Genomic DNA, 21,936 nt, shown 5'->3' on the forward strand with positions numbered 1-21,936 from the left:
GATAGTTTTCTTTTTTCTTTCTATTGTTTTAGAAAGTGTAAATTGTATTTTTTGTTCCTAAAAGTATCCTTATATTATATATGTATACATATATATAATTTTTAAATACCCAAAGTTGTTATTATTTTTTCCTGAAGTTATTCCGTAACATTTTTTCCTTGTATGTCCCCCTCTTTCTCCTTGGGTATATTTTTTTCTCCTTTTGACTTACTGTCTTTAGAATTACTTCTGTAGCTAATTGGAAGAAACTATACACATACTATATATATGAAGACAGTAATTTTAGAGTTTATCAAATTAGCCAATAAACTAGAGCTCCAATGCACACTAACAAAAGTAATAAAAAAGAAAACCATTCAACACAATAATGGGAACATGAATTCATTCCCTTCTTCCTCAGAGCCTTTGCCCGATCTTCCCTCTGCCCGGAGTGCTTTTCACTACTAGCCACACTGATGGTTCTTTCACTAGTTCCTAGTCTCTGCTCCTGAAGAAACATGAGCACATGTGAATAAAAAGAGGAATTCTTTAAAAGCTTTATTGCCATTTTACATTTTATGGTTAAAAAACAACATTTTAAGTGTTGATCAATAGGAGAAAGGCTGTATAAACTGAAGTATATCCCTAATATGATGCAGTATAGCAGAAGGCCCCATATGAATTAATACAATAAGACCTAAAGATTTATTATTGAGTTTATAAAGTGAGTTACAAAAAGGTATGCACAAGATGTATCATTTTTATTACGTTTTAAACCTATAAATGAAATGCCGTATATTTCAGCTGTTTCATATATTTTGTATATGGATGTAGATAGAGCATCAACTCCAAATTGATTAGATGAAACAATAAAGGTAATAAGGGATGAACGGACTAGAACTGGGAGTAGTGGTCGAAGGAGATTTTAGTCTATCTGGAATGCTGTATTACTTTAAATTATTTCATATATTTGTGAATTCTTTCTAGTATTAAACCAAAAAAAGTCATAAAAGCCATCACAAAGGTTTATCTACATTTTTTCCTTGTCTACTCATAGAAAAAGGGAGAGAGGAGAAAACGATCACCTTCTTCATTAGCTTTTGTTCAGCCTTCCTACGTATTTTTTTTCTGCCTCTGGGATCATACAGCTTCTAGTTTACACTCCTCTTAGGTTCCTACTATGTGATTTATATTATAGATATGTATTTTTGTCCACTCCAGTAGACCATAAAACTAATATTACATCTGCTTTTAAGTATTCTTAAAACCTAATAAATTATTCACTTAGAGTAAAACTTTAATACATGTTTTTGGACTTACTTTGAACTAAATTAAAGGAATTAAGTGAAGAGTACAAAAAGAGAATTGCCAAATTAAGATACTGATTTCCACGAAATGACATTTTAAAGTGGTAATTGGTTCATTCTTAATCCCCATCCAATCTAGGCAGTTGTATTGTTTTCTGACCACCTCCATTTCCTTCATAGGAAACAGTAAATGGGGCTGTGTGTGTGACTACTGAGGAATTAGTTGGTCCGTAGTGGTTTTTGTTGATGGGTTCAGTCCACTAGGGGGCACTCTAGGATTTCCAGAAATGAAGACTTTTTCTGATGGTCCCAAAGGGTGGAACAATTAAAAGAGAAGACAAGGGGGCATGTGAGTCAGTCAAGTCACAGATAACAAGGAATTGCAGTGGAATGGGGGGCAGTGTGTGTGTAAAGTTCATCTTCGGTTTTCAGCTCTGACATTCTATATAGAACCTCAGAAAGCTGGAGTTCATAGGTCTACGAATCCATTGTGAGGATGATTCTATAAGCAGAGGTAAGGGAATTGGAGTTTTACTGGGAATTGGGAGGATGGACACTCAATAGAAAACATCTCTATTACATATTTTCAGTTTTTAAATTTTTATGACTAAAATTCCTGAAATTCACTGGCATGGAAATTATTCCAAAATACCCCTGATATCTGATTTCTTCATATATCTTCTCTGAGACCAAAAGGAACAAGAATAAGCAGAAAAGAAGAAAATAGGAAGGAAATAAGGACCAAAACCAGAAAGAGAATAGAGAGGAGAATATTTAATTTGGCCAGCAGTATGTGGTCTGATCGTAACAGCTGTGTGGGCCTGCAGGGTGTGTAGGGAAAGGGTTGGACAGAGTGGGAGAGGTAGAAATTAAATCAGGGTGGATATCATACACACATCCTATTTTTCTTTTAACCAAACAAACTCTAGTTGGAAACATTTTCTATGCAGACAATCTCCTGATTTCAAGAAATTGTATTTATTTCTAAATCCACCATACATGCTACCAGAAAGTTTTCCTTATTAAAATTTTCATATAATTGAATTTTGCAATTTTCTGTCCAGCTATGTAATTTGGGCTTCCCATGATTCTTTAAGGCTCTACTTTCCCCAGCTGAGACACGGATTCTTCTCAGACGTATCATCCTCTTTCTTCACATACTATTCTACAATTTCTCTTATATAAAGTACTTTAAGGAAAAAAAAACCCTGTAACTTCATACACTGGAAATATTGACTCTTCCCCCCTTGCACTATTCACACCCAGAGTTTTGGAGAGATTACTGTGCGGTCTCAAAGGCCACTGCTGGTGGAGTTTCCTATTCAGATGAATGACAGAGCTCAGGTGTGATTGGTGCTCAGGGAGTCTGGTGCAAACTATTGACTGTAAGAACAAGTTTGTCTGGACCCAAGACTTGACCCCTTCCAGAGCAGCGGCAAAGGCACCCCAGCAACCAGGCAAGGAGCCATGGAGAGGAGACTGGGAGCTCTCTTGGGGCTTTTGTGGGTCCAGGTTTGCTATGAGTTGGGCCGTCCTAGATGGGGGCTGACAGGGGAAGGGAGGGAAGGGAGAGCTGACACAAATCTCCTGGACTGTCCTACAGCCTCATAAGTGTTTCTAGGGATATTTTACAGGCTTGGAAACTGCATCAGTGATTCCTTAGTGACATAATACATATTTGCTTTTCTCTTTCCAAGCAGGGGTGAGACGAGTGAAGGTGGAGCAGAGTCCTTCAGTTCCGAGTCTCCAGGAGAGAACCAGCTCTACTCTGAGATGCAGTTTTTCTACCTCTGTGAACAACGTGCAGTGGTTCCAACAGAATCCTGGGTTGGCCTCATCAATCTGTTTTTCATGGCTTCATGGATGAAGCACAGTGGAAAGTTATGGTCAAAAAGAAACTCTGAGGAGCTCTGTGGTACCCTACACATCACAGCCGCCCAACTGAAAGACTCAGGCACGTACTTCTGTGCAGTTGAGGCACAGTTCTCCCAGGAAATCTGCAGCCTGGATCCGAACTGCAGCTGGGCCTGCAGCCCCAACCCCTTCCGTGAGAGAGGCATGTTGCCCCCACAGTATCACTTGCACAGCTTCGGGTTTTCTGATTGACGTTGCGCTTTTATCTCTGCTAAAATTAGACACTTCAGGATTGCCATTTAACTTTTTTATCCTACCCTTTTGCTCTCAGAAATCTCTTTGCAGGAAAAAGCTTTGATATGGAACCACTGGAGCAACTTTTAAAGATATCAGGACCCAATGTACTGTTAAAACAGATCCTCTAGCAAAGAGCATATAAATTACATATAAATTACTGTGATAAAAAAGATTTGAAAAAATATATCCTGGTCAAGAAATAGCAAAGAGCATATAAATTACATATAAATTACTGTGATAAAAAAGATTTGAAAAAATATATCCTGGTCAAGAAATAGCAAAGAGATGACTCAATGTTTCATCCAAATGCATGTTGTTCACTTTTCTAGTAAAAGGGAAGAGAGCATGTGTGATGTATATTATATATAATTTTTTACTCCTGGAACCCATAAAAGATAAAATTTTAAAGCACGTAACGTCATTGGATGTCAGACATTCTCTGAATTTACATATATTATCTGGGTGCTGACAATACCTCTTTACTCTACACATGAATAAACTGAGGATTATAGGGCACACATGTCTTGCCTGAGCTCAGATGGTTATGAAACTAGCAATGAAGCTGGGCTGGGATTCTCCTTCTCGATGTTTGAAAGCAGAGTGTGTACTCTAAGCTACACACAATAGAAGACCCTTGAGAATCACAAAATACCAATTATTTCAATTGATAAATTTGTGCAATGTGCTCACATACATCACTGGCAAATATATCCGTTGGGATAATTTCTAAATTGCATCTAGTAAGAAAGAGTTCATTAAACTTTTCATTTTGTTACATTAAAATCCATTTGTCTTCCTTGCATTACTCATGATTTTGTAACATCATTCAAGGTCTCGAAAAGAGAACAGAAACTTCTAGGGTTGCCCCCCAAAACTTACCTGCTGTAGCCGCAGTCCAAGACTTCTGAGAAGCAAAGCCAAAGTTTAAACCTAAATGTGGATCAGTTACAACACATGTAGAATTTCAGCCTTACAAGGTCTGTTATATGAATGTAAGAGAATGGACTAGGAAGGACTGGGGCCCTGAGAACCAAGATGAAGACAAGCTGGCAGTCTCCGGTGAAGCTGGGAGCAGGGCCAGCTTCCTGGGTATGTGATCTGTTGCAGCCCACAGGACCCTAGTTAATGCTCTGCTATCACTGCCTTGACATTTTTAATAGTTTTGTTTTTAAACTTGTGTGAGTAAATGAAGTTCAATGAGAGGACAGAGCATGTAGGTGAGCAGAGGAGATACACAGGACAGCAGGACACAGGACAGAATCATATGCAGGCTCAGGTTCATGGGCACAGTGGGCAGCATGTGAGCCGAGCAGTTGGATGGGCTATTTTGAGTGCATGAGCACACAGGGCTCTCTGGTGTTTTGCGGCTCTCCAAAGTGAGTGGCAGTAAACTTTTCAGTAAATTATTACACAATAAAAGCATATACATGGACAAGGCAATAAGGTATATTGGAGAGTTATTAGAATCCTTCAAAAAGTTTAGAGACTGTGGTTTTGAAAGTTGATATAACATTACAATTTGGATATCTGCTGGTTTAGAAATAGAAATTACATGTAAGGATAGCAGCTTAATGGAAAAGAGCATCATTTTCTCACCTTTTAATGCTATCTTCTTTTGTTTTTTTCCTTAACATCTTTTTTTTCAACTTTTATTTTAGAATTGGGGGTTCATTTGCAGGTTTGTTACAATAGTATATTATGTGATGCTAGAGTTTGGAGTTATAATGAATCCATTACCCAGGTAGGGAGCATAGTACTGAAAAGGTGATTTTTTTCAATCTTTAACCCCCTCCCTCTGTCCCCTCTCTTGTATTCTCCAGGGTCTACTGTTCTCATTTCTATGACCTTGTGTGCCTAATGTTTAGCCCCTACTTATAAGTGAGGGCATGTCATATTTGGCTTTATGTTTCAGTGCTAGTTCACTTAGTTATCCTAAGTTATCCTAATGGTTTCCAGCCACATCCATGGCTGCATAGTAGTCCATGTTGTATATGTACCGTGTTTTCCTTATCAAATCCACTGCTGATGGGCACCTGGGTTGATTCCATGTCTTTGCTATTGTGAATAGTGCTGTGATGAACATATGGGCACACATGTCTTTTGGTAGGATGGTTCATTATCCTTTGGGTATGTAGCCAGTAGTGGGATTGCTGGGTGGAATGGTAGTTGAACTCTCAGTTCTTTGAGAAATCTCCAAACTGCTCTCTATAGTTGCTGAACTGATTTACATTCCCAGCAACAGTGTATAAGTGTTGCCTTTTCTCCACAGCTTCATCAACATCTGCTATTTTTTTTGGCTTTTTAACAAAAGCCAAACATTGTGGTTTTGGTTTGCATTTCTATGATGATTAGTGATGAGCATTTTTTTTCATGTTTCCACTTGTATGCTTTTTTTTTTTTTTTGAGAAGTATCTGAAGAGCATTATTTTCATGTGAAGTTTTGAACAGCCACGTTTTAACATAGAGGATAATATTGAAATTAATTAACTTTTTTTTTTTTTTTGAGACGGAGTCTCACTCTGTCGCCCAGGCTGGAGTGCAGTGGTGCGATCTCAGCTGACTGCAACCTCCGCCTCCTGGGTTCAAGTGATTCTCCTGCCTCAGCCTCCTGAGTAGCTGGGATTACAGGCCCCTGCCACCATGCCTGGCTAATTTTAGTAGAGATGGGGTTTCACCAAGTTGGCCAGGCTGGTCTCGAACTCCTGACCCGTGATCCGCCTGCTTCAGCCTCCCAAAGTGCTGGGATTACAGGCGTGACCCACCGTGCCTGGCCTGAAATTAATTTTTTAATAATTGAAGATACAGTGATAAAATTAATAAACAAGGATTTTGAATTATATCTATATCATTAAGCCATTTCTAGTTTCTTATACAGCTTCCACAAGTTACTAAAAATTTCAGAGGAAACATTAAAACAGCACTGTGTAAATTTACATTGAAAACTGAGTTCAGACGTACATAAAACTGATTTGTGGTAAGAAATAAATTGTTTTAGAAAAATTGTTTCACAGGGACCATCAACCACTGATTTACTAAAATTTATATTTCAGTTAATCCATCAGATAAGTATGCTAATGTTGTCACAGTATATAAAATACTTTTAAGAGCTCCAGTATCAGTTGCATCAGCAGAAATATCCTTCTCGCAGTTAGAAATGAAAAATTCTAGTTAAGATTTTGCATTTAATAAGAGCACTTGATATTGCTTTCATTTATATGCTTGAAAATGAAGTTGCTCCAGGCATGAATTTTGCTAACCTCATAAATTAATTTGCAGCAAAGTGATCCATAAAATTTTATTAATCAAGATATCATATTAAAGTATTATTATATTAATTTATGACACCAAATTTTTAAACCAATTTTATGTTTTTTCTTATGTATCATTATAAACCCTATTGCATTTTATAAGTAATAAAATATTTTAAGAAAAAAACTTTACAGTTTATTACCTAATGGCTATTTTTCCTGCCTTTTGAATAAGAAATCCTAAATTTTCGTTTTGCACTGAGTCCCACAAATTGTACAGCCAGCCCAGCTGGGAATCTTGAATCCCCAAACTAAATTTTGAAGGAGAGATTTTGAAGTCTGAAAGCAATCAGGATGTTTGAGAAAGTGCCTTTTGCTTTACATATTAGTAAACTCCTATACTTCTTCCATGTTCTCCAAGTTGCTGAGGTGTGTGTGTGTGTGTGTGTGTTTCCTTTAAGACAGACATGATACGCTATAAAGATAAGAAATCGATATCCAGAAGGGAGAATCCTGCCTCCCTATAGCCCAGCCATGGTGTCCACCCTCATATCACTGCTTGTGATGGCCTTTATACTTAGCGAGTAAAGTCTCATTTGATTTCATTTTACTATGGATTTAGGCTTCCGTTGATCTACCATCTATCACTAATGTTGTAGGAGGAATGAAAACTCACATAGGAACTCATCTGGAGGACCTTGTCTTTTCTTCTGAAGGGGCCCAAGGATTGGTTAGGGTAACCTCAGACCCACTAGATTGCATATTGATGTGAAAATGGTTTTGGGGTTCCATGATGCAAGACAATTTCTCCTTGCATTCCCATACTTTACACTGTACACAACTAGTCCTTAATAAATATTTGCTCTGTTAAATAGAATAAAATAATTTTACAGCTAGAAAAGCACTTAGAAATCTTTTAGTCCAATTTCACTTTACAAAGAGAGAAACCATATCCAAGATGCCAGTATGGAACCATTAGATGAGCCGGGAGTAGAAAGAAACTGGATTTCCTCCCTTCCTCCTTCGTATTGTTTCCTCTGCCTCATTCCTGCAGGACCACATTGCTGAGCAAAGAGAAACTGAGGAAAATCCAGCCACTTTGACCTCTGCAGTTTGGGTCTGGGAAAGACTTGGTCCAATCAGTTTGACCATGAGAATGGAGAGTTCCAACTTGTGTAAGTAAACATTTGCCACTTTGGGCCACAGAGATACTCATGAGGCTGAGCCATTGTTATTCTACCAGCAAATCAGTCCATGACTCACTGGCTTCTGTAGGAGTGAGCCAAAAGTGATGGTGCCATCCTCAACCCCTGGATGTATTTCTGAGAATTTTCCTAAAAATAGCAAGATGTGTACCTTATGGTGGGTGGATATTCCTTGAAAGAAGGATGTGAACATAAGGAGCATCACTCTACATTGTTTAAAAATGATCACTGAAATTGGGAAGCTAAGGGGAACATTGCCCCTGTGTAGCTGGCAGTTCATGAAAGTGCTGGAAAAGCTTTTCCGGGCCAACCCTTTGATAATGAGTCTGGCAAAAAACGAAATAATCACCAGGCTGGGAATTTTGTCCAGGGCACGGCTATATTCAAGGTACAGTTAATATACGGAACGCTGTGCTCCATGTGAGTGGTCATATTCAGACCATTACATTCAGTTCTGGATGTCGTAACTCAAAAGGACAAATATTAACCTATGTATCTGTCTCCAAGAAGAAAGTAATTTGCTCAATGAAGGATTTGATAATTGTATGAGGAATGGGTGAGATAACTGAAGATCCTTAGAATGGAGAAATTTCATATATGTAAAAGCACACATTATATATATACATATATTTATGTATTGAGTTGAGATTCTTAATCATAGCTGTCTGTAAATATTTAAGGGTGTGAGATGTGAATAAATAATTAGATTTAGTCTCTATAACTCCAGCAGACTAGTGAGTACAAATCACAGGAAAGGGGCTTTCCTCCTGGAAATGAGAAAGTCTTGGTTTCCCAGGTACCATTTCTCATGATCAGTATTTTACTGTCAGTTTTCTATTTGTACTATTCTGCTAACAGGCACAGGAAATATTTAGCCTTCCATTAATTTATTCTTACAGAAGTAATTTTAAAATTTCAAAAGTTAAAGTAGATTAGAAAGTTTTTTTTTTTTTTGGCAGAAACAGATAAACCTGGAAACATACAGGACTGAAGGACTTTCTCAATATCTTGGAGAAAAACATTATGGTGGAGTTTGGGAGAAAAATGATAGATATGGAATCTGTGCCAGCAATGGCTGAGACAACAGCAGTTCATGACAGAAGAGTTGACTCATACTTTAGAGGAAATTCCACTAAAGATATGAGTCAGTCACTGTGTTTAAGCACATATCATATTGATATCATCCACTTTGATATCAAAAAATAAAATTATCTCAATAATAAAGTTACATATGCTTACATTTTTTGAATCTGCAGCCTGATGTTTTCTGAGAATTTCTTCTTGTTTTTTCAACACTTTGCAGAAAGCAAGCCACATAGCCATAGGAAAAGACTTCTTAAAACATGCCAGATTTCTCCTTGCAAACCAGCCCAGTCTATGGGTCAAACTATTCCTATTGTTGGAGTATTAATAACTCATGGAACTTGTCCCCCTCCTCCTTTATCATTGTACTTTAATTCTTTACCTTTTATTAAAGCCATCTTTACTGAAGAAATATTCAACATTTTGATTGTCGGTACCGTCAATTCTCTGGGAATAGCAAGGTCATGGCCCAGGCTTGAGAAGCAGAACCTGAGATAATACGCACTCGAAATATTGAGTGGTCCTCTCTCTCTTGCTCTGATCTTTGGCTTACATATTGCCTAAAGAAAGAGTTTTCTTCATAACAAACGAGTCATGATAGTAGACTTAACCTAAAAGGAAGGCATTATTTTTTCTTGTTTATGAGAGCGAATTATGGTATTTTCTTAATTTCAAACATAAACTCAGCCCATCATTGAATAAATATCAACAGCATCTACTTCTTTATAATTTATGAATAATGACTCAGTAGTGTGCATAATTATAGAGTTAGATCTCTACATTCTTACTGTGCATTTAATCTCTGATTGAACACCCAGTCTGTTTGACTCATTGCTGCTTTTGTGCACCTGAGTGCCTCATAGGGTTAGAGAAAAACATTCAACCAGCAAGTTCAGTAGTTAGGGATGTGGCCACAAGATGGCAGTGCTCCTCTGCTGAGGCAGAATACAGGGTTCACTTTAGTGTGTCCTGAATGAATAGGTTTATGGTAGCAGCAGAGCCTTTTTCTTATTGGTTGGCTACACAGTGTGAGAAACCCCTATGGCTGCCAGAGGAGAGAAGAGACAACCTGATGATAGAAGTAACTCTTATAACTGGAGGTTGCAGGTCAATGACTGATCTTAATTGGGAAGAACAAGGATGACATCCATTCGAGCTGTATTTATATTCCTGTGGCTGCAGCTGGACTGTGAGTTGAGGGTATTTGGGTAACAGAGTATATTAGTGAATATTCTTCAGCAGTTCAAAGAGGAGACTTGCTTTATTCAGGTTTCCTCTCGTTACTATGAAAAATAATTCTAGAGAGTAATGACCTAACAATCCCTCTTCTTTCTCTGATTTTTTCTTTCTGCATAGTGGTGAATGGAGAGAATGTGGAGCAGCATCCTTCAACCCTGAGTGTCCAGGAGGGAGACAGCGCTGTTATCAAGTGTACTTATTCAGACAGTGCCTCAAACTACTTCCCTTGGTATAAGCAAGAACTTGGAAAAGGACCTCAGCTTATTATAGACATTCGTTCAAATGTGGGCGAAAAGAAAGACCAACGAATTGCTGTTACATTGAACAAGACAGCCAAACATTTCTCCCTGCACATCACAGAGACCCAACCTGAAGACTCGGCTGTCTACTTCTGTGCAGCAAGTACACATTGCTTCCCAGGCACCTGCTACCCGTACACAAACCTGAGACTGGAGCTGAAGCTGCACCCCCTTTCCTTTGTCATAGATCGTCAATTATAGCATTTGTCATATTGTTTGTTTGCAAGTTGAAACTAACATATTGACATTTAAAGCATATAATAAAAAGGTTAGGTTCAATGTTTTTGTATTTTTAGTAGAGACTGGGTTTCACATGCTCAGCTAATTTTTTCTATTTTTAGTAGAGATGGGGTTTCACCATGTTGGCTAGGATGGTCTTGATCTCCTGACCTCGTGATCCTCCCGCCTCGGCCCCCGAAAGTGCTGGGATTACAGGCCTAAGCCACTGCGCCCAGCCTAATTTTTGTATTTTTAGTAGAGACGGGATTTCACTATGTTAGCCAGGCTGGTCTCAAACTCCTGACCTCAAGTGATCCACCCGCCTCGGCCTCCCAAAATGCTGGGATTACAGGCGCGAGCCACCGCAACCGGCCCTATCTTACACATTCTATTAGTAGATTACAACAGGACTTTGGACCAATGGTTAATTTACAGACAGCTTGCTAAAAATCTCCCTGCCTCATTTTCATGTTTTGACTGAATTAAACATTACTACCACAATTTCTTTTAAAAGAGTTATATCTTTTAGTGTTGTAGATAAATCAGTGGAAATAAAGAAGGTGCATAAATAATTAATTCCCTATTTCTCCCACCTGTGGTCAAGAGTAGGCTAATTTCAAGATCTCTTGTATTCTTCCTAAGGATGGATCTAATCAGCAGTTGGAATGGGAGAACAATTCCTCCTGGCTGAGTTTTGGCTGTTATGGCTTGTTCTTATAGGGAAAGTAGTTAGATTAAATTAGGGTTAAAACAGCTGGACAAGAAAGGTCAGCTGTTCCTTGTCTCTTCCGGCTCTGAGGGCTGCCTGCATTTCTTGGCTTGTGGCTCCATCACTCTGATCTCTGCCTCTATGGTTGCACTGCTTCTCTTCTTCTGTCATCTCCCTCTGCCTCCCTATTATAAGCACACACGTGATTATATTTAAGGCCCATATAACATAGGATAACTTCTCATCCCAAGATCCTTAACTTAATCATATCTGCAGTGTCTTTTTTCCCTTGGCTATATAAGATAACTTTCATGGATTCCAGGGACTGGGGCCTAACTTTTTTGGAGCCCTTATTTTGCCTACCACAGTTGGCATGCCTGGTGCTATCTTTTTCAGAAGTTGAGAAAGAAAATCAGAGTTCCAGATAGAAAAATAGAAACCACATCAATTGCTTTATTTTATTTTCTCAGTTTTTACAATTTTCAGTTTTTAAATTATCACTTAAAAAGGAACACATTTTGATATGCAGTTCAATGTGTGAAATTTGAATTTTGATATATTGCATAGTTTGATGTAACCATTACATAACTATGATACGAAACAGATTGCTCATCCCAAAAACTCCCTTGTGTGATCTGTGTGAAATCACACCTCCATCTCAAACTCCTTGCAAACCTTGGTCTGTTCTTTTATATTTTTATTTTTTTCTGGAGGTCACATGGGTGGAATTATACAATATATAATCTTTTGAAAAGTCTGAATCTTGGTTACAGAAAGCACACACCATTGGGCACATACATGATCATCATCTCTGCTACCACTCTTTTTTTTCTATACCTGAATGTTTTAAACTTTTGTCATTTTACAGGAATAACTCAACATTTCAAATGTTTGAATTTCTTTGGAGGTTTGATTTACAGTTTAAAGAAACACTATGGCAAGTATAGTGTTTAAGGAAACGGTATGGCAATTGATAATGGAGAGGTTCAGTTGAGGATTGAACCAACTCCTAGAATCAGAGTTAAACACATCAAGTTTAGTTGTACCAACACTACCCTAAATTTTTATCAATAGATATTTCTCTAACATTTTAAGGCTAAGTGTATTGACCGAAATGTATTTTAGTCATATTAATTGGGTATGGTTAATACTTGGATTTTCCCAGGAGTTAGCATAGAATGACATATCTCACAATTATTTAAATTTTTTGCACTAGCTGTGGCTTTGTAGAGGTGAAAAGTGTTAGGATGGTTATTACCTCAAGTAAAGCCTGTACCTAAGCAAATTGTTTTATTAACAAAATAACAAAGTGGAAAAAAATTACAAATATATGCAACGTTGTACCATTAGAGTTGAAAAATACCACCAAATGGATGAAAAAGAAAAGAATGCAAAGATAGTATAACAACCACTGGTTCCAGTCATCTAGATAATACTGTTCGATTATACTTGCATGGAGCTGTCTACTTTATCCACTTATACATGTGTTTCAAGGACCTCGAGTCTGCACTCATTTTCTGAAAAGCCCCTAAATAGTCTCTGAAGAAATTCAGTTTAATATCTGTAATATGAATAACTTCTCAATTCTTGCCATTTAAGGATGGATAATGTCAAACTAATTGGTACAAAGTAACCACAGATCAATTCCTCGTACTTTAACTGTTGAACTGGTAATAAACAGTACCTAATAAGGTCATTTTCACAAGGTTGAAAGGCAGTCTTTCTCTGGAATTTTTTTCCAAATACCAACTCATCCAGGCTTAGGTCATGTAAAGGCTGATTAAATGAAAGGCCAGGAAAGAAAACTGTACCTGTTGGTATAAGGACTGAGTATAATGGGTTTATTTATCTAGATAAGTTTGTGAAAGAATGAACTATATAGGATTCCAGATACTAGGAGTAATATGGACCTACAAGTCACCAGTTGATAGTAAGACAACCTATGATGGCAGAGTGAACAACTCAGGGCCATGAAAGTGAAGGGTAATAATATATTAGATCATGGAAATTCAAGGATGTCTGATACCGTAATTAATTTTAGTTTTAATATTTCTCATGTGTTGTGTCTTCATTTATAGAGGATAAGGAGGTGATAAGAAAAGAGAAGTTCTGAGTGAGGGCAAAGCATTATATAACTTCCCGGAAAATTGTGTTCCCCTATATATAGATAATTTGAAGTGTCACATATTCAACTGTTTCCTTAGGACAGTATTCCAGTTCATATTCCATTTTTACACTTTTCATGGAATCTTATAGGTTTCAAAAAAGGCATGAACTTGCCACTTTCTGTGTTCTCCTAGAAAAGTTTTCCCCAACTATTTGTATAATATTGCAGCCAGTACATCCCTACTGTGATGGGCTGTCTCTGGAAGGTTGCTAAAACAAGTATTCACTGGAGATCATTTGGTCCCACCAGGCAGCCTTTCTGGCCTTGATATATCTTATCCTCACTGATCAAACAAATCAATAATTGATCCAAGATGTAGTTACTAAAATTTTCCATAGATTTTTCTGCATGTTCTGTAAGAGGTACTTGCATGAGGACGTTAGTCAGAAAGGCATGTTTAGCATGATTCTCTGCTCATGTATTTCTTCCTGGCTTCTATAGTGTCTTTCCTACTTTGGAACTTTGTCTTTCTTTGAGTAGTATCAATAATTCAAATAATTTTCGTATTTGGTGTCTATTTTATAGCGATACATGAGATGTATGAAAAGGTTAAGAAGGTTAAGAAATCTCATCATCTCCATAGTATTTGAGAGTTGTGAACTATGTTAAAACATATAGGCTATCACTGTATATATTTTTCATAATTGGACATAGCAAAGAGAGAGCCACAAATTCAGTTACTTTAATTTGTTTTGCTTCTTCTAAGGAATTAGATTTTATAATGGAGTCTGGAGCAGTAAATGCATTATAAACCTTGTGTTATTTCTTTTCAGTTTTGAAGATAAGACATTAAAAACAAAATTAATTCAGAATTAGGTATGAGACTGTCCAAAATATCTGTTCTGGGATGGACACTTCTTGAGTTACAGAAATGCAATCATAAGATTCATTGATTGAGAAGTGTAATGGAGTTAGACGCTATGAGGAGAAATTAATAATATTGTATAGTTAGTCCACCAACTGGTAAAAAAATGGTTGTTTTTACAGAGTAGATCATTTGTGCTGTATGTGGCATCATAAGATTTAATGGTGATTTCAGTGAAAGATCTGGAGATGCTTCAACAAATTTAGACATAGCTGAAATCATTTTAAGACAAGGAGGATAGGTTGTAATCATTATATTAAGAAATAGGCTATAATAGGCAATGGGTCTTTGTTGTTTTTAATGTAATTGAGTAATATCCCTAGGACATGGCCTTACTGCTAATATTCACAAAACGAAAGCCTTATCACAATCAATTTTCCTATAATAGTTTTTCCTTGGGAGACGTATGGAGACACCTAGGATTCATACCTTTCAGCAGTGGATGTACAGAATGTAATGGCTTGTTATGGCTCATTTGGGGTCCCAGATGACATAATAAAAATGCATAAATTCAAAGGTTTGATAACTTAATGATCAGAGTCTGGTGTCTAATATGGCCTGTATAAACAGAGCTGGGCTGTCTAAACTAACTTGAAAAAAGAAGAAAACTTTTAAGATAGGACTCAATGTCTGAGGGCTTCATTCTAAACTCTCAGAAAAAAGAGATTAGTTTTTTTCTGCGTAGAAAAGAGAAAGAGAGATTAGTTTTTTTCTACCGTTTGTTCCCCAGATAAGCAACTGGACAGACTTTGGGAATAGGACAAATATTGCTATATTAACATGTAGGTCCGATGATCTGCAGTGATTAGTGCAAACAGCTTTTCCTTCTTAGCATAATGTGATTAATTTCTACCTTAGGAGAAACAACAACATACATAGATGTGAGGATACATAATTGTTACATCTTCCGTTGCCTTCATTATTCATTACATGTAGTATTTTAAAGTAAGTGCCAACCTCTCAACCTCATTGCTCAGTTCCATCACAGATGCAATGACTGAACATAGCAATTGGCCGAATTATCAATTTCCCTTCTAACCTGACCATGTTTATTTTCATATTTAAGTTATTTATTATCAAATTAAGGGTGGGTAAGTGCAAAGGAAGTTTGCATTGGGTGAGGTTCTTAGCCAGTACATAGAGAAGTGTTAGATAACACAAACTAGCTTGCTACACCGGAAAACCTCCGTTTCCTATTCCAGGGCAGCAGCAGCAGCAGCAGCACATAGTCCAGTAATTCTTCTCTTACTTCATCAGACTCACCTCACAATGCAGAGCCCTGAATTTTAAGAAGAACAAAATATATTCTCTCTAGAGAAAGAACCAAACATGTTGCTCTCCAGCTGCCTGAGGGTGGTCACAGCTTCAATGTGGCTAGGTAGGGATGCCCCTGGTGGGAATGGTCTTCCTCTAAGACCCAAGGACTGGGAAATGTCTCATCAAAACTTTGGGACAGAAGAAGTAACAGGGTGTAAAAATAGAATTTCTTTGTTCCACATCACTCATCCCTAAACCTTTTGGTTCTTTGTTTTCTCCTTCAGAATCTGGTTTTGCTGAGAAGTAACTCAAATTAAACCATCAGTATTGGTGCATGAGAAGGAGGCTGTGACTCTGGACTGCAATTATGACACCAGTGCTGGAAGTTATAGTCCTTTCTGGCACAAGTAGCCCAGGAGTGGGGAGATGATTTTCCTTATTCATCAGGACTCACGATCAGCAATAAGCAATAGGTCACTACTCATTGCATTTGCAGAAGGCAAGCAAATCCATCAACTTGTCATCTCCACTTCACAACTGGAGAACTCAGTGATGTGTTTCTGTGCACTGAAAGAGGCTACAGTGAGAGAACTGTTGGAGTGAGGTACACAAAATCCCCAAGGGTCTGCTTGAGACATCCACTTGCTGGAGAGACCAAAGAAAGGATTCACCATCACAGACAGGAAGTGGCTATGGTTGTGACAGCACAGGTGTAGCATCGGGGGAAAACACTGTAAGAAAATACCTCTCTAGGCTTATAGACCATTTCCAGAATTATCATTCATCAAAAACATCCTAATCCCTGAGTCTTTGGTTTGAAGTTAGACACACCAAAATTTTGACCAATGATTGAGAGAAAGAACTGCCACAATAAGCAATTTGCCATCTGGCCACTAGATTGAGCTGGAAGAATTGGCTAAGGTAATTCAGAAACATATGACTGAAAGATGAATAAAAACAAATTCAACACTCTTTGTGAATTGTTGGATTTTCAGATCAGTTTATTCAATAAATGCTAGGTGTCTTCAAAAAGTTTATGGAAAAAAGAAATTGCGTATTATGAAAAACGGTGCATGGATTTCAAATTTTCTGGCACCAAAATAAACTTATACTAAGTTGTTATAACATATCTGAACAGGATTTAGTTTGAGGCACTAAGAAGGATAAGACATCAGTTTGAAAGGAGCCCCTATCAGAGCAACATGAATTCTGTTAAACTTGAGGCAAGAACAAACATCAAATTTATGGTGAAACTTGGGTGGAAGAATGGTGAAATCACTGATGCTTTATGAAAAATTTATAGGCTCAACACTCCAATAAAATCAGCCATCCTCTTGTCTGTCTGTTCTTAAACAAAATGGATAATTTGTTTAAGAATAGACAAGAGGATGCCGATGAAGCCCACAGTGGCAGACATTCCATAACAATTTGTGAAGAAAAAATTAACCATAAGTGCCCTAATCAAAAAGGACGGATGATTAACAGTGGAAACAATAGCCAACACTATAAATGTCTCAACTGGTTTAGCTCACACAATTCTGACTGAAAAGTTCAAGTTGAGCAAACTTTGTACTTGATGGGTGCCAAAACCACTATGCTCAGATCAGCTCCAGAAAAGAGCAGAGCTTTCAATGAAATTTTGAATAAGTGGGATAATGATCTTGAACCATTTCTTCAAATAATTGGAACAGGAGATGAAACATGGCTTTATCCTTTTGATTCTGAAGATAAAGCACAATCAAAGCAATGATTAGCAAGAGGTGGAGGTCCAGTCAAAGCAAAAGTGGCCCAGTCAAGAGCAAAAGTCATGGCAACAGTTTTTTGCGATGCTCAAGGCATTTTGTTTATTGAGTTTCTGGAGGGCCAAAGAATGACAGCATCTGCTTATTATAAGAATGTTTAGAGAAAGTTAGCCAGAGCTTTAGCAGAAAAATGCCTGGGAAATCTTCACCAGAGAATCCCTTTCCACCACGACAATGCTCCAACTTATTCCTCTCATCAAGCGAGGAGAATTTAGGTTTCTGTGGGAAATCATTAGGCATCCCCCTCACAGTGCTGATTTGGCTCCTTCTGACTTCTTTTTGTTTCTTAATCTTAAGAACGTCTTTAAAGGGCACCACTTTTCTTCAGTTAATAATGTAAAAAAGACTGCATTGACTTGGTTAAATTGGTGGCTAATCATCCAGTAAGTAAGCAAGAAGAATACATATTCACCGAGAATAAATATGTATCCCCTATGTGTACAACGTACTGTATTAGGACCTTTGACTATACCGACAGTAGTATAAAATGTTACTCTTAAGCAGAATGAACTTACCAGAAAAATCTTGCAAATCAATTGAGGAATAAGATGAAATGCATGAAAACTTAACCAATAGATAAAATTCCAAGTATGTGGGCAATTAAGTTTTAGGGGTATTTTTAGGAGAATAGTGTGGCACCGAAAAGACACAAGTAAGCATCATGGAGAGATAGAAAACTTAGGCATTAAACGACAGACACACATTGAATTCATTCATTATACACTTACTTATGAAACACACAATAAGCAACAATTGTTTTTGTAGGTATGAAGAGTAGAATAATGAATAAAACAGACACATGCAGACAACAAAGACCTTCCCTCATGAGGTTTAGATCTACAATTGTCTATAGTGTTCCCTTCTTTTACAGGAATATCCAATATAGGTATTTCCAATATATCTGTTTCACTATAGGCATTTGTCTTGCCTATTCTAGTGATTGGCAGGTTCCATGTGACCATTACAAGGCATAGTCACTGAAGTACTATTAATATACCTGTCATTTACTAAATTATTTGACCATTGACAAAATTACTTAAACTCAGGCCACCTAGACATCATCAATTGTAATAACAATAACAATCACCTCTCCACATAGTTGTAAGGATTGAATTAAATTTCATGAATTTAATTAAATGATTGAATTGTAGTGGTAGGGAACAATTTCTCACCAATGGTAGCTATACTTGGATATAAATGAGATATTGCAACAAAGACAATTTGAAATAAAATAACAAGAAAATTTAAGGATAGATAAGGCTTAACCCTCTACTCTCCTGCTATTGGTTATATTATTATATTTTACTATATTTAGGACTGAGAGTCACTATTTCACACTGGCCTGATTCCATCCAATTATTTGAACTATTTCTTTATCTCATAGGCCTTACGGGTAGAGAATGAAGCTTTCTTGCTTCAGGTATAACTTAGTGTAAATTCTATGATGGATTCACATGAGCGTTATGGAGCAGGAGTCAGATATACACCATTTTATACTGAGCTACAGTGCCAATAACTAGATCCATAACTGGGAGCTTATTTAACAGAGCTCTGCTCTGGGAGAAAATAACTTTTCTAGGTCATCCTTGGGGGAGGAATCCTTTTTAGTTATTCAATTTACAACTTGTACATACATGGTAGATGCCCAGGAAGTATTACAGAAGAAAAAAGGAAAGAGAAAAATCTAAGGGACAAATGCTAGATGCAGCTGACTGAGAATCAGCACCTGGTTCTGCCAGGGTCCTTTCCCATGCTACCTCTTCAGAGATCAGAGACAGCTGTGCGATCTGTGCATGGGGGAGTAAATCTTGTTTCTGGCTGGATGGGGAGACTCTCAGCTTCCTGCAACAAAACTATGAATATTCACTCAGAGAAACAAGAGATTTGGCTTGGTAGTGTTTGAGGGCTCCCAGGCCCCAGCCAGAGTCCTCCGTGAGTCTGAGGGATAAAAATGAAGAAGGCTTTGGGAGTTTCATTCTTGATTTTCTCTTGGGAGCTGTGCTGTGAGTTGCTGGGCTCTGGAAATATGAAAAAGAGCGAGTGTAGTATCTTATTTAAAAGTCTGGAAGTTATAGAAGGGTGGTTAAGGCCTCAGTGCTCACCTGTGGGGGCTGTGAAAAGAGAGCATATCTTCTAAAAGCTGTCAGCCATGAATGAATGTCATCTGTCTGTGCTTCTCTGTTTAAACAGGGGTGAACAGACTACATACGCCGGAGCAGAGTCCTTCATTCCTGAGTATCCAGGAGGGAATGCATGCCATTCTTAACTGTTTATGTGTAGGGGGAACTTTCTTTATAACCTCTGTCTCCAAACAGAAGTGAAGAATAATGCACCATCTCTCATATGTGAAGAAGCTGAATTTATATGGAATTATGTTTCCTTTTGTCATTATTGAAATTTCATTCCTCAATGTAGACCATACAGATCCTGGGCCTGCTTGCCCAGAGTCCTTCCACTCCTTTACTGTTTGCTCTGAGAGGTCACAGTCTCTGAGTCCATGGAGCAAAGTTTCCCCTGGTTGTACACTTAGCAGCATTTAACTTATATTTTCATAATCTTTAAATGATGTTTGCTGTATCTGTGTATCATCTACTCCATAATTTACTTAATTTAACATTAAATTGATTTCTCTATTAAATAGATGCCAAAAATATGTAAAATATTGTCCTTACTTTAATAGATACTATCAGTGGGACCACATATATGTTATAAAATGTGCATTTGATGTGCAAGATATTTTTTCCTAATACAAATTAAAATAATGTTACATATATAACAGTCAGAAAGACCATCTGTGTTCTGCCTAATATGACCTCCTGTATCAATCGCACTTTAGAAAATACATTTCCAGCTCATGCCCCTCATTTGATAGATGAAAAAAAGCAGGCTCCACAGGCATGGCTTCACTTTACTCAAAGCATGTGTTGCAGTGAAATGGAAGCCTGGAGTAGAAGCCAGGCATTCTGGCCCCTTGTCAGTTGCTTTTTCCATGAAAGATGAAAAGCGGGATTCGGTGTTTGAGAAAAGGAGTTGTGTGTTGTAATTTTGAACTAAATTACATTTTTATTACTTATATGTATATATAAAGATATAAAATGATATATAAAGACATAAAACACCCAGAAAAATAGAACACACCTATAATTTCATAATCAAGAAATTATAACTATTATCCTGTAAAAAATTTTGGTATACATATGTAGCTATTTTTTCTATAAAAGTGGTTTGCAATATATCCAGTATTTATTACCATGCTTGTTTTTCTCAACATTATGTTTAGGTGTTTTCATCCCAGGAAGCTTATATTGAAGGCACAGTTTTATTTTATTTTCTTTTATTTTCAACCTTTATTTTAGATTCAGGGGGTAGTACATGTGCAGATTTGTTACCTGAGCATATTGCATGATGCTGAGGTTTGGTGTATAAATGATCCCATCACCCAGGTACTGAGCATAATACCAACAGTTATTTTCTCAGTCCTTGCCCCTTTTCTCCTTCCCCCTCTAGTAATGCTCAGTATCTACATGTAGTCTTTATGTCCATGTGCACTCAATGTTTAGCTCCCACGTATCAATGAGAATATATGGTATTTGGCTTTCTGTTTCTGCATTGATTTGCTTAGGAAAATGATCTCTAGCTGCATCCATGCTGTTGCAAAGGATATGATTTCATTCCTTTTTATGGCTGCATAGTATTCCACGGTATTTATGTGTCACATTTTCTTTATCCAATCCACTTTTGATGTGCACCCAGAGGGCATAATTTTAAGTGATTGCCTAGTTTCCATTATATAGATATATTTTAAAAAATTTATCACTTTTGGTATTATTTCCTCTTATACAGTGTTATAGATAATGCTTCTTAAAAACATAATTAAATTTGTAATTTTAATGGAAATAGAGTTGCTTGAATAAGGGAGAACATATAACACTAAATGCCTAATGTTCCTGAAGATATATTTCACCAAAGTGTAATTTCAACAGCAGCACATGGTGATGCTGATTTTTCAATACTTTATCAATTATGACCATTATTATCTTAAAGTAGCTTCCATTTTATTAATAAACACTTTAGCAATGTTTTAGTTTTCTTTTAAAGTGTGAGTTTATATATTTTATTATTAAAAATGTGATTTAAAAACAGAGTCCATCACATAGAATATTCTTTCATACAATAAGATTTTTTAAAAGGTTTGAAGAATACTGTTCTGGCCCACATTACCTTCTATTAGGCTGGTGCAAATGTAATTGTGGCTTTGCCATTACTTTCAATGGCAAAAACCGCGATTATTTTTGCACCAACCTACTAACTGGTCTCTTTTTCCTCAAGGCAATCTATTCTCCATGCTTTTGCTACTCAGAGTCGGGGCCAGCACTGTCTGGACTTGTGCAGATGCTCAGCCTCCA

General features: G+C 37.2%; 1 gene segment (V, D, J or C) and 1 further gene, besides 4 other annotated features; both read left to right on the plus strand.

Moving 5' to 3' along the window:
* The window catches only part of TRA (T cell receptor alpha locus), a 930,229-nt gene that overhangs the window by 236,845 nt on the left and 671,448 nt on the right, over positions 1 to 21,936 (plus strand).
* Positions 10,114 to 10,162: a sequence feature (TRAV13-1 leader sequence).
* TRAV13-1 (T cell receptor alpha variable 13-1) lies at positions 10,114 to 10,617 on the plus strand. The segment is given in 2 exon segments: positions 10,114 to 10,162; positions 10,330 to 10,617. Coding segments are annotated over 2 exon segments (337 nt in total), but the record flags the coding sequence as incomplete, so codon positions are not given.
* Positions 10,330 to 10,337: a sequence feature (TRAV13-1 leader sequence).
* Positions 10,625 to 10,647: a recombination feature (spacer).
* Positions 10,648 to 10,656: a recombination feature (nonamer).

This window comes from Homo sapiens, chromosome 14 (genome assembly GCF_000001405.40).
Source record: "Homo sapiens chromosome 14, GRCh38.p14 Primary Assembly".
NCBI lineage: Eukaryota > Metazoa > Chordata > Mammalia > Primates > Hominidae > Homo > Homo sapiens.